We start from the raw sequence: 14,754 nt of genomic DNA on the forward strand, positions 1-14,754 counted from the left end.
GAGTAGGCAAGGGGGAGAAATTGTTTAGTGGGTACAGAGTTTATGTTGAGGATGATGAAAAATTTGGGGTATAGATAGTGGTGATAGGTATACAGCATTATGAATGCTGTACATTATGTACATTATGAATGCTGTAACCAAATGTGTACATTTGGTTAAAATTATAAATGGTTAAAATTTGTATATTTTACAATGGTTAAAATTATAAATATTATGTTATGTACATTTTACCACTGTTTAAAAAAGGATTGATAAATTAATACTGTACTAAAGCAAACACATCAAAATGTTAATTGTAGAATAAAAAATTATGGAAGGAAGAGCATGGAAGATTAATTTGGCTAAAGAAAAGAATGTAAATGTTACAACTTTGACAACATAAACATGTAGTTGACAAAAGATAGAATTGAGAGGGCAAAGACAGAAGTGTTAATATCTGTCTTCTTACAAAGTAGGTAGTCAACAGATTGTTGAAAGTAGGTGGAGCAAGAAATAGAGGTTTAAGTCTGTTACTGAAAATTACATATGTAATCAATAAAATAACTAATAATAACATGAATATCAAACACTGGGAAAAGAAGGGAGGAAAGGTAGTCAACATTAAATTTTCATCTTTCATAGTAGAGATTGTTCTTGGCTTGTTGAAGTCAAGATAAAAGGTATTATATCTACATAATATCAAAAGGAGTTGTGGAGGAATCCACCAGAATACCTAGGCAGACCATTCACAGAAGGTCATCCCTGGGTACCTGCAGGTATGGGGTAAGAAAAGAGAATATCATAAGCTGTACTACACTATTTGCAACAACATACTATTTTAACTTTTAAAAGTTAGTACAATTACAAAAAGATAACCTCCTTTGAATGAGGGCCTGAATTAGGACAGTAGCCGTGAAGGAGGGGAGAGGACTGGAGGAGGGGAGAAGGCTGCTAAAAGGCATTCGTGAAGTTAAATCTGCAGGACTTACTGACTCTGGGGGGATGGAGAGAATTAAGAATAATTCCCAGGCTTTAGATCTAAAGAGTAGGTACTCTAATGTATTAAGATGTGGAAAGCAGGTTTGGTCTTGAAAGAAGAAATTATGAGTTCAGATTTGAGCACACCGACTTGGAGGTACCCATGGGATATCCCACTGGCATAGCCAGATAGTTTTTGTATCTGTGAATCTGGAGCTTGATAAACAGGTTAGGGCTGTACACCTTCCTTATAATTACTGCTTGGGAAAAACACTAACTCTTCATAGGCCTAGTATTAGATCTATGGTTTTGTGTTGGGAATGGTGGTGATGTCCAGTGGTTTAAGTCACTTTTGGAACAGTGAGCTACTTGAGACTTTATTTTGTGGAAGAAACTGGGAGAGTGAGAGGGTGGAGCCTCTTTGTCCAGCCATGTTTCTGCAAACTGGTTTGGATCATATATGTTATAATAGAACTTGGGGAGGCAAAGGCAGGGTGATGTGTCACCAGATTCCTCTTCAAGAAAAGGTCTGTTGCCCCAGCTGCTGGCAGTTCTGTGGGGAGGCAGCCCTCAATTGTCAGCATTTCTTTACCCACAGATCCACCTTGCCAGAGGTCCCACCCTTCCAAGAGCAGTCCACATCCAGTGAATAATAAGTATAAAAACATGGCCATTTCAGCCTAACATGAGTTTATTCCAATGGACCATTTTAGCTCCAGCGCTCCCTGTGAGTTTGAGCAAGGTTGCTATCAGGCCTGCATTGCAGCTAAAATTATCCCCTCTGCCCAATCCTTCCCTCCCACTGGTATAGATCCAAGGTCACTACATAAAAAGCATCCTGCAATCCAAACTCCAGTTTAAGAGTCCATGATAGGTGTTAAATGGCTAAGCAAGCTCCTTTGACTTTGCCTATTTGTAGTACTTGCTATAATCCCATGCTATGAGGACTAGATTGCTGCAGACAGACCCTAACTGAAGCACAACCCTCTGCATTTTCCATATATACTGGTGAGTAGCTAATGGCTATTTTCTGTTTTACAAGATAGAGTGAAAACAGGCTTCAATCAATCCAGCTGGACAAGTAACAAAAAGACTATCATGTGTTCAGCAAATAACTCCATCCAACCTGCCCCAAAGACCCCCATAGCCAAAGCCATTAAACTTTATGTGTTTTATTTTCTCCCTCCTGCAACCCTGAAGTCTTTGCTGACGTTTGAAGACTGGTAATAATCAATGTCCCCATCCATGTTTCTGAATTCTCAGCCAAATTCATGGCTGTCTCATTTTCTGAGTCAGATGTCCTAATCAACTAATCCATTCCAAATAGCCTTGCTTCTGGATATAAAGGGGGAAGAACAAATAAACATCTTTAAGTTTCAGGGACATAAAACTGTGATGGAAAATGTTCCTTATGGAAACATCAGATGGTAACAGAAGGGGTGTTTTACAAATAAAAATAAATATATTTGGGACTTCTATGCAATGGCATGAATAAAATGAACCATCATTGGAGAAAAATGTTCATTCAAAATGATTTAGGGGGATTTAATTTATTTGTTGTTTTGTTTCTCTTTGGTATGTTTTTGTCTTTCTATATTTCCTGGACAACAAATTTTGAAGCCCAGTAAATGAAGCAAAATATATCTTGCATTCTACTCAAATTAATCTCAGGAACACATAGATTGTTTTCCAAGGGTAGAGATACATAAGGCTTTACAAATAAAAGGGATTTCAAGTGAATCCATTTTTTAAAATGACAGTTGCCTGATTAACAGTAGTGAATGTTTATTGAGCACTTACTATGTGCCAGCCACAGTGTTAAATACTTTATATGTATTGTCTCATTTAATCCTCCCAGCCCACCTGAGATAGCTAGGGCCTCTGTACAATGTGAATGATGCCTCCTACAGTTGCACAACATGGTAGCCCTCAGGTTAGGCATCATTTTCCCTTTCTCAGATAAAGAAATGGAGGCACAGAATGATTCGGCACCTTGCCACCAACCTACACAGTTGGTGCATAATACTGACAGGTCTCAAACCAAGCTCATTTGGCCAAGTCCGTGGTTCTTACTACATTACACAGTACCAGCTACTGTGCTGTAAGGCGTAACAATTAATTGTGGCAGGAGAGTGTCATCCTCATTACCACGCCTTCTTTGATCTTTATTCTGGCTGTTCCCTTGGCCTACACCATTTCTTTGCACATCTCTGCCTACTGAAATCACATGGATCCTTTAAGGCTCACCTCAAGTACCTGTAAAATTTTCCCTGGACCATTCCTTTCTCTAGCAGAATTAATCATATCCTCCCTTTGACTTAACAATATTCTGTGCCTGGATGTTTTGTGTTTTTTCAAGATGGGATAGTAACAGCATTCAAAAATGTTTCATGACTACAACTCCAGTATTCATAACATTGAGTCGAGGAGATATATTTCTCTTATTCTTTGAAACAGGATGGAGCATTTTTCTTTCCCCACTACCCACCACTCCTCACTTTATTCCTTTTTTAAAAAAATTTCTCAGCCTCTAAAGGTGATGATTAAATTTGTTTATACCTATTATAGTATTTTCCATATTGAAATGTAACTCACCTATCTGTGTCTTTCTTTTTAGGACTCTAAGTTCCTCAAGAGCAGGGATAGATGAATCTGTATCCCCTATCCTTGGCAGCTACCACTGTCCCTAGTACATAAGTGCTCAATAAATGTTCTTTGCATGAACAAACATCCTCATGCAAGACACATGGGGGTATTTCTGTGACCTACTAAGCTTGTCTCCTGGGTGTGGATTTTTATGTCTTAGTTCAGGGAGAGAAAAAAATGCTTATCAACTGTACTAACCTATAGGATGTAATTCAGTGTGTATTTATTGAAGTTAAGTCAAGTGTTACTGAAAGAATAATTTATTAAGCCATTTAAAAATGGCTATACTGAATGTGCAAAGCTTTCTATTTTAGCTCTTTCATTTGTGTTGTGATTGAAGAAAAGTTTCCTTTCAGAAAGAAAACACCATGAACTTAAATAAAATGTACCATAAGGTCTGTATTGGTACAATGATAAATTTTGCATCATAAATTGTACAATACTATAGTTAAAGATGTGCATTCTAATCTGTCTGGGAGTGGATGGTATATGATATAGTAAATCATCATATAAAGAAATCTAAATGTAGTCTACATGCTTTTATGTTTCTGTTATATTAAAATGTATATAAAATTAGAACATTTAATCAATGTAATTTTATCCTTACATATTAAATTGGATTTGGGGAGATAGACTGTTGACATCTACACTGACATACTCTTTAAATGCACCAAGTTCATGCATCTAAATGGAGCAGGAAGCAAGCACAAAATTCTTATAATAGTCAAAGCTGATGACATAACACCAATACTTAAAAGGCCCTGACACAGAACATTTTCATTCTTGTTTTATGCAATCATATCAAATTGGTAACCTGGTCCCCAAGCCTACTCTGCATCATATGCAGCAAATGTGAAAATATAAATTCTAAAAACAAAACAAAATTGAGACATATTAGCATGGAGGCAGTCATTGCAGACATAAATGATTCTACTCTATCTCAACAGTCCTACGTTTTATGCTGGCTGACACAATAAGTGATCTTCATATTGGGAAGCCAGAATCATCAAATGTATTCACATATCAAAACATCACATTGTACACCTTACATACACAATTTTTGTTTGTCAATTATACCTCAATAAACCTGGAAAAAATATATTCAGTATGTTTGAGGAGGTTAAAAATGATGTGATAAATTAGGAAGTGTTCTAGTCAGTAAAGAACAAATTAAATATAACTCAGAACTATTTGAAAAATTCGGATGTTCAGAACTTAGAGTTCACATAGTGGAGGTTTTATTGCTTTAGGATATTCTATTACGAAGAATGTAAAACCTATTATGGCTAATAATTTTTTTTACTTAAAGGCAAACTTTCTAATGCTGATATTATTGTCTTTTCCAATTTAGATTCTATGTAAACATCACTACTTTTTAAGTTAGTTCATCTCTCGACTTTACCTAACTTGAGGTATAACACAACTTATCTCAAAACCACTCGCGTGAGTCAGACCATCCTGCAGAGACTTTCAGATGAGGACATATGGTGCATTCCTGAAAATAAAAGGGATGATCTGATTATTATTTTTCCTCTCCACATTTCCCCAATCTTCACATTTGGTATAATACTCAATACAAAGAATTGCAATTTCTATAATATATGTTGTTACCAAATAATATCCATAGCACCTTAACTGTAATTATTCACACCTGGCAAGACTTCAGGTGTCATTAGACACATTTTCTCTTCATACCTTACAAACATTAAGATTACAAGAAAGGCCACATCCTTTAGAATCATGAAAACTCTAACTTACCAGAGTACTATTCACTGTTTCCAGTGTGTTATTTTACCTTCTGACAAGTTTTATAAAGGAGAAGGGAATAAAACTAACTTACATTACATACAAGATGTTGCCTACATAGATGCCAGAAAGGGAAGCAAATGAACAGCTAGAACATATGGCAGTGAGCTGAGAGCATAAAGAAACTAGTTCTGCATGAGCAACAAGAAACATCTTGAAATGTTCAAGACATATGTGTTTTTAGGAAGAAGACTGAAGTGTTTCATAATAAAAACAGGACAAAGTGAACCATGAGTGCTGAATAAAGTTTTAATTAAAAAAGGGTTTTTAGCCTTCAATGTGAATATACAATATGCTTCACAGATGGATTTTATATTTAAGTCTTATCCAAACCAAAAAAGTAAGTGAGACAAATAAAGCTTCTGAAAATGGCACCAAGGCTAAAATGTATGTAAACAATGAAGAGTTCTGGTACAAACAAACAAGGAAGGAAGAACAATCCTTCTGCCATCCATTTTCCACTTGCACATTGCGTAAGTAGATCATATAACCTACCTTTGGTGCAAATACATGTCTCTCCAGTTTAAATATATAATAGACACACATAATTAGGGAACAATCTAAATGTCCAATAGAGGAATGGTTAAATTACTTTCTATCAATGGGATATTAGCCGTTAAGAAATACACTTATGCATCATTTTAGAAAAATGAAGAAATGTACATGTATTAATGCTAAAATAGTAGGATACAAAATTTGTAAAAGAACCCCAACTTTAAAAATGCAAGAATATTGCAATAAAATATACAAAAATATTAGCAAGTTACCTCAAAGTTTTTACTTTCATATAACGACTTCTCTGACTCTTCCATTAATAGTTTTTACGTAACACTGCTTTTTAAAATCACAAAATAATGGACATTTGAAAAGTCTAATTAAAGTTGAAATATTTATCTAGAAAACCTGATATAAAACAAAAATGGTTCTAAGTTTATCAGAAAATATTTTCATATTAATCTTTGATGTCTAAATAATGGTGACCATTATCTATATAGCTTCATTCTTGTTTCAAGACAAGAAAAAATTATTCCTGAAGTTCACTGGCTATAGGCAAACAAAGAATGACAGGTAATCTCTACACTAAAAATCCAGGCACCTAGCAGATGAAGATCTGACAATAACGTATAAGAAGCACACAGGGCCAATGGATATACTTTTCTATTTTTTCCTTGAAAAAAAGTTTAAAGCAAACATAAAATGATATCTAAAGCTCTTTACAACACATCTAAAAAGCATGGGTTTAAGCTGGAAAATCTCTTGGCAGTGAGTTTGGTATTTGAGCATATCTTAATGCCAGGAAATATTTTTATATTGCAAAATATTTATTTTTAAAAGTTCAGCTGAAATTGGAGTTTTTTATGAGATCTTTAAGATGGATCAAAAGTATATTCAGAAATAGCTTTCCTTACAAGGTTTTTTGAAGGTTTCATTTCATTTAGAAGCCATATTTATTTATTGTCAATACCCACCGATGTGCGCCCCTACATGACACTCTAGCTCAAGAAAAGTGATCAATTTGCTGCTCCCAAACACACTTCATTAACCCTTGTTTCCATACCTTTATGCCACTGCTTAATTTTTCCCAGTTAACAGTAATTTTCTCCTTTCCTACCTATTGCAATTCGACCTGTCCTTCAGACTGAAGTCATGTCCCTACTCTACTCATAAAGCCTTTTCAGATAAATAACTTTAGTTCTCTCCATCCTTTGAACTCATACTACTCATTGACTCCTCAGCAAATATGAATTCCTTTGTGATATCTCTTACTATGATCTTTTCAAGTATTTATTTCATCTGCTAAACTACGTTGAAAGTTCTGTGAGAACATTTAAGAAGCCAGTTTTTGTTGTTGTTGTTGTTGTTTTGAGACAGGGTCTCACTCTGTTGCCCAGGCTGGAGTGCAGTGGTGGAATCATGGCTCACTCCATCCTTGCACTCCTGGGCTCAGGTGATCCCTCCTACCTCAGCCTCCCAAGTAGCTAAGGCTACAGGCACATACCACCATGCCCAATTAATTTTTGTATTTTTTTGTAGAAGCTAAGTCTTGCTATGTTGCCCAGGCTAGTATTTTTTCTTTATGTCATCCAGTGTGTAGTTCACAAGTGCTCAATAAATATGCTGAAAGATGAGAAATGGCTGGAGAAACACTGACTACAAAACTCTTACCCTTGGCTTTAATGTAACCTTTGGGATGTCAGATATATCTGCTCAATCATATTATGAAAATGGAAACCCATTATTTGAGTACCCAAATATTTTTGGGGGAAGAAGACAAAATTTAAATTCTATTATAAGGCATACAAAGGATCTTCATGTGATTTCAACACACATTTCCACCTTATCTTGATCCCAATTTCACCATATACCCTTATACTCTAACCATATTAAAAATCTTTTTTTGTTGTTATACTTTAAGTTCTGGGATGCATGTGCAGAACATGCAGGTTTGTTACATAGGTACACACGTACCATGGTGGGTTGCTGCACTCATCAACTCGTCATCTACATTAGGTATTTCTCCTAATGCTATCCCTCCCCTAGCCCCCACCTCCCGACAGGCCCCAGTGTGTGATGTCCCCCTCCCTGTGTCCATGTTTTCTCATTGTTCAACTCCCACTTATGAGTGAGAACATACAGTGTTTGGTTTTCTGTTCCTGTGTTAGTTTGCTGAGGATGATGGTTTCCAGTTTCATCCATGTCCCTGCAAAGGACAGGAACTCATCCTTTTCTATGGTTGCATAGTATTCCATGGTATATACGTACCACATTTCTGTATCCAGTCTATCGTTGATGGGCATTTGGGTTGGTTCCAAGACTTTGCTCCTGTGAACAGTGCTGCAGTAAACATATGTGTGCATGAGTCTTTATAGTAGAATAATTTATAATCCTTTGGGTATATACCCAGTAATGGGATTGTTGGGTCAAATGGTATTTCTAGTTCTAGATCCTTGAGAAATCACCACACTGTCTTCTACAATGGTTGAACTAAAAGTTCCCTGAATATGCTGTGCCTCTTCATGCCTCCATGCAAGCTCTAATGGCCTACTTCTCCTCTTCTGACAAAATCATCCTTTAAGATCAAGATGAAAGGCTGAATCCTTCATCATATCTTTCTTCATTTGTTAAGGAAGTGGTTGCTTCCTCTTTCATGCTCCATAAGTACCCACCTAAACATTTCCTTCATATATTTACTTATATTGTACATATCCATAATACACAACATTTTATAACACACTGTAATGCATTTGTGAGAGATCCGGATACATCTTATTTATTTTATTTTATATTTATTTATTTTATATTTTCCTAGTGCTACTGATAATATCTGTATTATCAGCTTCATTATAAGCAAATATCAATATTTGCTTAATGAATGCATAAATGAACGATTTTGATAACTGCTTATATTAAAGGAGAAAAAAAAAACCCCTGGGATTTAAAGGTTAGTCATGGATAAACCAAAAGGTATATAGTTCACATGGAATCTAGAGCCAAGCATTATGTTTCTTGGAGCTCAAGGTATTTTTGCCTGTTTTTATAAAAAATAAAAATAAAATCAATCCAGATGGTGAAGAGGCTAACACAACGAAAATATTTTAAAAGAAGGAAAAATTAAAATCAGAAAAAAAGTCCCATATGCTCCTTCCCACAGAGAAAGCTGTGAATAGGTGCTAGATCCATGGTTCTCAAACCTGGGTAAGCATTATAATCACCTAGAGAGACTAAAAACTTACAGATGTTAAATTTACTGCTTCAGGATCTCCAGAGGCTGGGATTTTTAACAGGCTTCCTGAGTGATTCTGATCAGTTAGGATTTGGAACCACTGACCTTGAACATAAATAATCAAAAGCCTCATCAGCTTTAGACCTGGATGTTATATAGTCATGCTTATCCCCCTAAATAGATTAATATTAGATATGTCTCAGATATTCTAGTTCTGAATCCTACACCTAGGAAAAGTTCTTCACAAATTATGACAATTTCCAATTATGCATGGTGAGTAGATTACTGCATTTTAAAAATCCCATGCACTCTTCATTACTAAACATTTCTAGTAGAGCTGCTAACAAATTACAAGTTGACTAATTTCCTTTCCTATTCAATGTAGCAAAGGTGGGTTAATAAGTAGGTGAACTAACCAACAGGGACAGAGTAAGAGCAGAGAAAGCAAATGTTTGGAGCTATTCACAAACATATTAAAAATGTTTAAATAATGGAAAACTAGCTTCCTCCAATATAGCAATGGATCAATCACTGAAAATCAAATACCACCTCTTAAAATCCAACATTAAACTCAATACCTAAGGAAAATCAAACAATAGTAGGGAAAAGTTCTATAGACTATTTATGAGAAAATACTAACATTTGAATGTAAGTCCTAGTTCAGACACTAACACTCCCACCGTGTGACCCACAGGAGACACTTAACCCAAACTTGAGTTTTCTTGTTTGTAAAAAATGTAAATTATAATCCCTGTTCTACCTAATTCACAAACGTGTCATGGAAGGATACAATGAAATAAGTTAAATGCTTGAAAAGGATAATGGATGATATAAAATGCAAGCTATTATTTATGAAAAAAAGCTTATTAGAAATAGTTTTTCCAAGGTTTTAAATATTTGGTAGACAAAAATTCACTAAAGTCAAATGTTCTTTGTTTTCCATTTTCCCAACATAAACACTTGAAAATACTTCGTAATTCAAAAGCTGGCATCTTTTCTTTCATTTGGCAAAAACAATTCCCCTCCAGGTTTCCAGTGGAAGTGAAATTATTTTGACTGTTTTTGTTTAAGATTATCAACAAAAACCTCTCCAAATTATGCTGCTTCTATGCCAAAACACATTCTTTATGCAGCACAGTTGTAGGAATGTATTATATGTGAGCCACTGCTGGACCACAAAGGGGAATTAGGATAGCATATTTTTTTCTATCCGTTAGGAATATTCAAAATATTTTCAACATGTCCTTGTTAAGTGATAGATTCCTTTTCAATATAATATTTTCTTTAACCACAGAATATTAGGAGCTATGCTAAGTAATTATTTCCGAAATAAATATTTTAGATGAGTCAAATAGTGAGCTATATAATAATAATAATAATAAATATTATTTATAGAGCCCTTACTGAAATGAGAAAAGTTCCCTTATCCCCATCTCAGGGCCTGCGATGGGAGTGTGGCTCACTTCTTCGGTGCCCCTGCTCATATCCCTAGGGTGTGCATGCAGACGGGCAGGTCGTGAGGCGGGCACCGACCCCACGGCTGCATCTAGGGTTTAGTGTTTACAGCTCCTGAAGCCCCAGTGGGCATGTGTTACAGTGCACTCTTTCAGTTTTGCCATCTGCAGGTGGCTTGCATTAATCAGCTCGATTAGACTCTCTGCCTTATTGCAAGGACAGAGGGCTTTCTGTATTCCAGGCTCTCATCTGAGTGTACTGGAAAAATCGAATCACACGTGGGCTTGGAGAATGAGTGCAAAGTTTTACTGAAGGATGGAGGTAGATCTCAGCAGATGGATGGGGAGCTAGAAGGGGGATGGAGTGGGAAGGTGGTCTTCCTCTGAAGTTGGCCGCCCAGCAGCTGGACTCTCCTCCAACCACTGCTGGCCAAATTCTGCGTTGTCCTACCTGGTCTACAGGCGTCTGTTCCTCCTCATCAGTGTGCACTTCCGCTACTCTGCTCCTCTTGATATCCAGCCGCCTGTGTGTGTTCTTCTGCAGTGTGTTCCTCTCGACGTCCAGCGCTCGAGTCTGTGACCACTAGGGTCTGGGTTTTTTTTTTTTTTTTTTTTTTTTTGAGATGGAGTCTCGCTCTGTGGCCCAGGCAGTGACACGATCTCGGCTCACTGCAAGTTCCGCCTCCCGGGTTCATGCCATTCTCCTGCCTCAGCCTCCCGAGTAGCTGGGACCACAGGTGCCCGCCACCACGCTTGGCTAATTTTTTGTATTTTTAGTAGAGACGGGGTTTCACCGTGTTAGCCAGGATGGTCTCGATCTCCTGACCTCGTGATCCACCTGTCTCGGCCTTCCAAAGTGCTGGGATTACAGGCATGAGCCACCGCGCCCGGCCAGGTCTCAGGGTTTTTATAGTCACAGAATGGGGTACGTGGGGGGCCAGGGTGGTCTTGGAAAATGCGACATTTGGGTGCAAAAACAGGAGTGCCTGTCCTCACCTAGGTATGTGGGCACAGGTCCAAGGGTGGAGCCCTTGCCAGGGACCCCACCCTTCTCTACCCAGCACTTCTGTGCCCCCATCCCATATCATTATCATGTGCTAGGCATTCTTTTAAGCACTTGAGATGGGTCTACTTAAAAATAAAAATATGTGTGTGTGTGTGTGTGTGTGTGTGTGTTTGTGTGTGTGTATCTATCTGTATGTACATATGTAATCATATGTTATAATCTTCTGAAAAAGGTGAAATCACATTGAACATTCCTAAGAGCTATGGAAACATTCATCTGGCTGAGCTCCTGTAGGGTCACTTCTGCTGAACTAGAGTGATTAACTTCTACCTCTAACATTCTCCAAATTGGAAAAATATGGTTAATTTTATAAAACGTAAGTGTGCTAAATTAAAAAAAAAATCCAGAAAAAACTTCCTAGGATTGAAACTGGTTTTAGAGAACATACTCTCAAACTAAATTTATTTTTGTTTTAAAAATACTACCTTAACTGTATAACATATAAATGGATAATATTCTCTAACTGAACTCGTGTTTAGCTTCACATGTAAAACCTACATAGAACTTCCTTACCAATATGCACAAGGTATAAAAGGTTAATAGAATGTTTTTAAAAACTGAAATAATGACACTAAGGCAGCTGTCTATGCCTGGATGGATTTGTGCACAAAACAATGAAACTAATGACAGGGAAAAAGGTACAAAATTATCTTTATGCATCTACTATTTATCAGGTACAGTCTAGTCACTTTGCATCTTTTACCTCATGCAGTCTTCATAGTAACCATCCTAGGTGGGTATTATTCCCATTCCATGGACAGTAAAATTAAGGTTTGAGATCTCTAGGTATTCCCACATTACAGACTCTAAGCCCACATATATAGTGCTGTTTTTATTATCTCACACAGCCTACATAAATTAAATAACTAGTAAATTTAAGAGCCATATCAAAATATCTGAACACAGTAATTTGGTCCTATGTCTTAAAATAATTCTTAATATTTTTCTATACGTATTCAAATAGCCCATTTTTTTCTCTGATCAAATCCTCAACATCTTCCCAAGTACTATCTCTACTGACTTTGAATTTTAGTCATCACAATGACCATTTAATGAACACCATGCATTGTACTAGGTACTCCATGTACATTAGCTCTTTAAACAATTACAACAACTCTATGAAAATATCTTCCATTCTACCAGTGAGAAAGCATGTTTCCATAAAAGTTGAAGAATACAGAGGTGACAAATTTAGAGAATGAAATCCAGGGTCTGTTCAACTGTAGAACCAACAGTACTGCCATTATGCCAAATGGAATATTTTTCAAACTACAAATACTGTTTACCAGATCATTCATAAAAGCAAGGTATTATGATAAGGCCTAATATATGACAAAGAATGTCCATATATATTTTCCCATTTAATCATAACACTTATCTGAAGAATGGAGGACATTTATTATCCTATTTCATAGGTAGACAAAGATGAGGTTCAGAAGGTTGAAAGGCAGTGCTTTTTCTATGATACAATGTTGCTGTCAGTCTTTTGGTAATAGAAATACATATATAATATAATAAATATGCAAAGTATAAATACACTTATATAACAAACATAAATAAATCATATGTATTTCAAATATACATTTGGTATATAAAATTTAAAATATATATATAAATAAATCCTTCTCCAACCTTTTGTCTGCTTATATAACTAATTTTACCTTTAAAAAAAAAGAAATCAGTAAATTAGTGAAGAGTTATTTTCATTGATCAATGAAAGTCTCTAACAAGATACACTTATTCTCAATTCTATGGCAGCTGTTCAAAGACACTGTCTTTCATTAAGAGTTTTTCCTCACCTTCCTTCTGAATTCTATGATATACCAAAAAAAGCTAAACTTCTTTAAATTTTTACTGAAACAGAAATGTAGTGATGCTTAAACTTGTGGTTACTCAGCTAAAGAGGTGACTGGGGTTCCAGAGGAAGTGCATCCTAAGTCTTTACCTAGAACTATCCCATACATAACTCCGGTGCCCATGAACTCTCAGGTCAGTTAAAATAATTCTGCATTGATGTGCCTTTCATACACTTCCGCCAATTTCTTCCTTAGTTGATGAGATAATCTCTTTGTTTTTAGTGCTCAGATGTTGGAAATTTGCTATAGGTTTTAATGCGTAAAGGTAAGTTCACTTATTTTATCCACTGAAGTTCTTTCTGAAGAGATACCAGCTCCACCATTTAAAAACATATGAACTATAACAAACTGAGTTTTTTAACCACTTATCTAGTTGAGAGGCAGAGTTGGGTTTACCTTCAAGTCCAAGCTTTCTCATTTACTGGTTGTGTTTATCACTGGCTAATCACAGCAGTTTAATTTCTCAGTTTCCTAGTCTGTAAAACTGAGATTACACATACCTACCCCCTACTACACAGATATGTTGTGAAAATCAAATAAAAAAAAGATGTAAATTACCGAGTACAGATGGCAGTCCTTAATAAATATTAGTTTAATTCCCTTGGCTTAAGACCTTTAAAAAATATACTAAGGTCAGAAGAAGAGGAAAAAAAAAAAACCATCTTCCCACTCCACAAAAAAACCTGTAAACTTTCATATACTATACAAATTAGAGGAGAATATGTTATCCTCCATCAGGCTCCTCAGCTTGAATGCAACATACCAAGATTTAAGATATAACTTAAACAATGCTGCATTTCACTGAGATGATTTTGTTTGAATATTCACATAAATACCCTACTTATCATATTAACTCTTAATTAAGACAGCTAACCATAGTTTCTAGATTAAGTTGGTTGCATTTGAAAGCTAGAAGATAGAGAATTATTCAATCTTTGAGTCAAAAATGAACTGTTTGTGAATGACAAAAGATAAGGCATTGGGACAGAAAATATTTAAGGCTCATCTTTGGAACCAAGAAATTTGCATTTAATAAAAGAGGTTTAAACTCCATTGAAATATAAGGTGCTCAAAACCATTGCAGGCAATTGCTACCTCGATCCACTTTCTAACATTATACTTATCACCCCTTGCAGTAGCAGTTTAGGAGCTGGTCTTAGTCACCTGAGCTCCATGTATATTAGTTAATTAACCAAGTAATAAACAAAAAGGCAGGCCATTATATTAGAAAACTTCTTATTTAAA

The 14,754-nt window shown here is 36.0% G+C and overlaps 1 protein-coding gene across 3 annotated transcripts in view; it reads right to left on the reverse strand.

Moving 5' to 3' along the window:
• Positions 1–4,818: 4,818 nt before the first annotated feature.
• Positions 4,819–14,754, reverse strand: part of SPATA6 (spermatogenesis associated 6) — a 210,816-nt gene continuing 200,880 nt past the window's right edge. For all 3 annotated transcript variants that reach the window (XM_047422913.1, XM_047422901.1, XM_006710699.4), the window contains one exon: positions 4,819–5,098. In XM_047422913.1, the coding sequence (XP_047278869.1) occupies positions 5,074–5,098 (25 nt within the window). In that variant the 3' untranslated portion in view covers positions 4,819–5,073. The remainder of the gene's footprint in view (positions 5,099–14,754) is intronic.

The sequence above is a fragment of the Homo sapiens genome, chromosome 1 (genome assembly GCF_000001405.40).
Source record: "Homo sapiens chromosome 1, GRCh38.p14 Primary Assembly".
Taxonomy (NCBI): domain Eukaryota; kingdom Metazoa; phylum Chordata; class Mammalia; order Primates; family Hominidae; genus Homo; species Homo sapiens.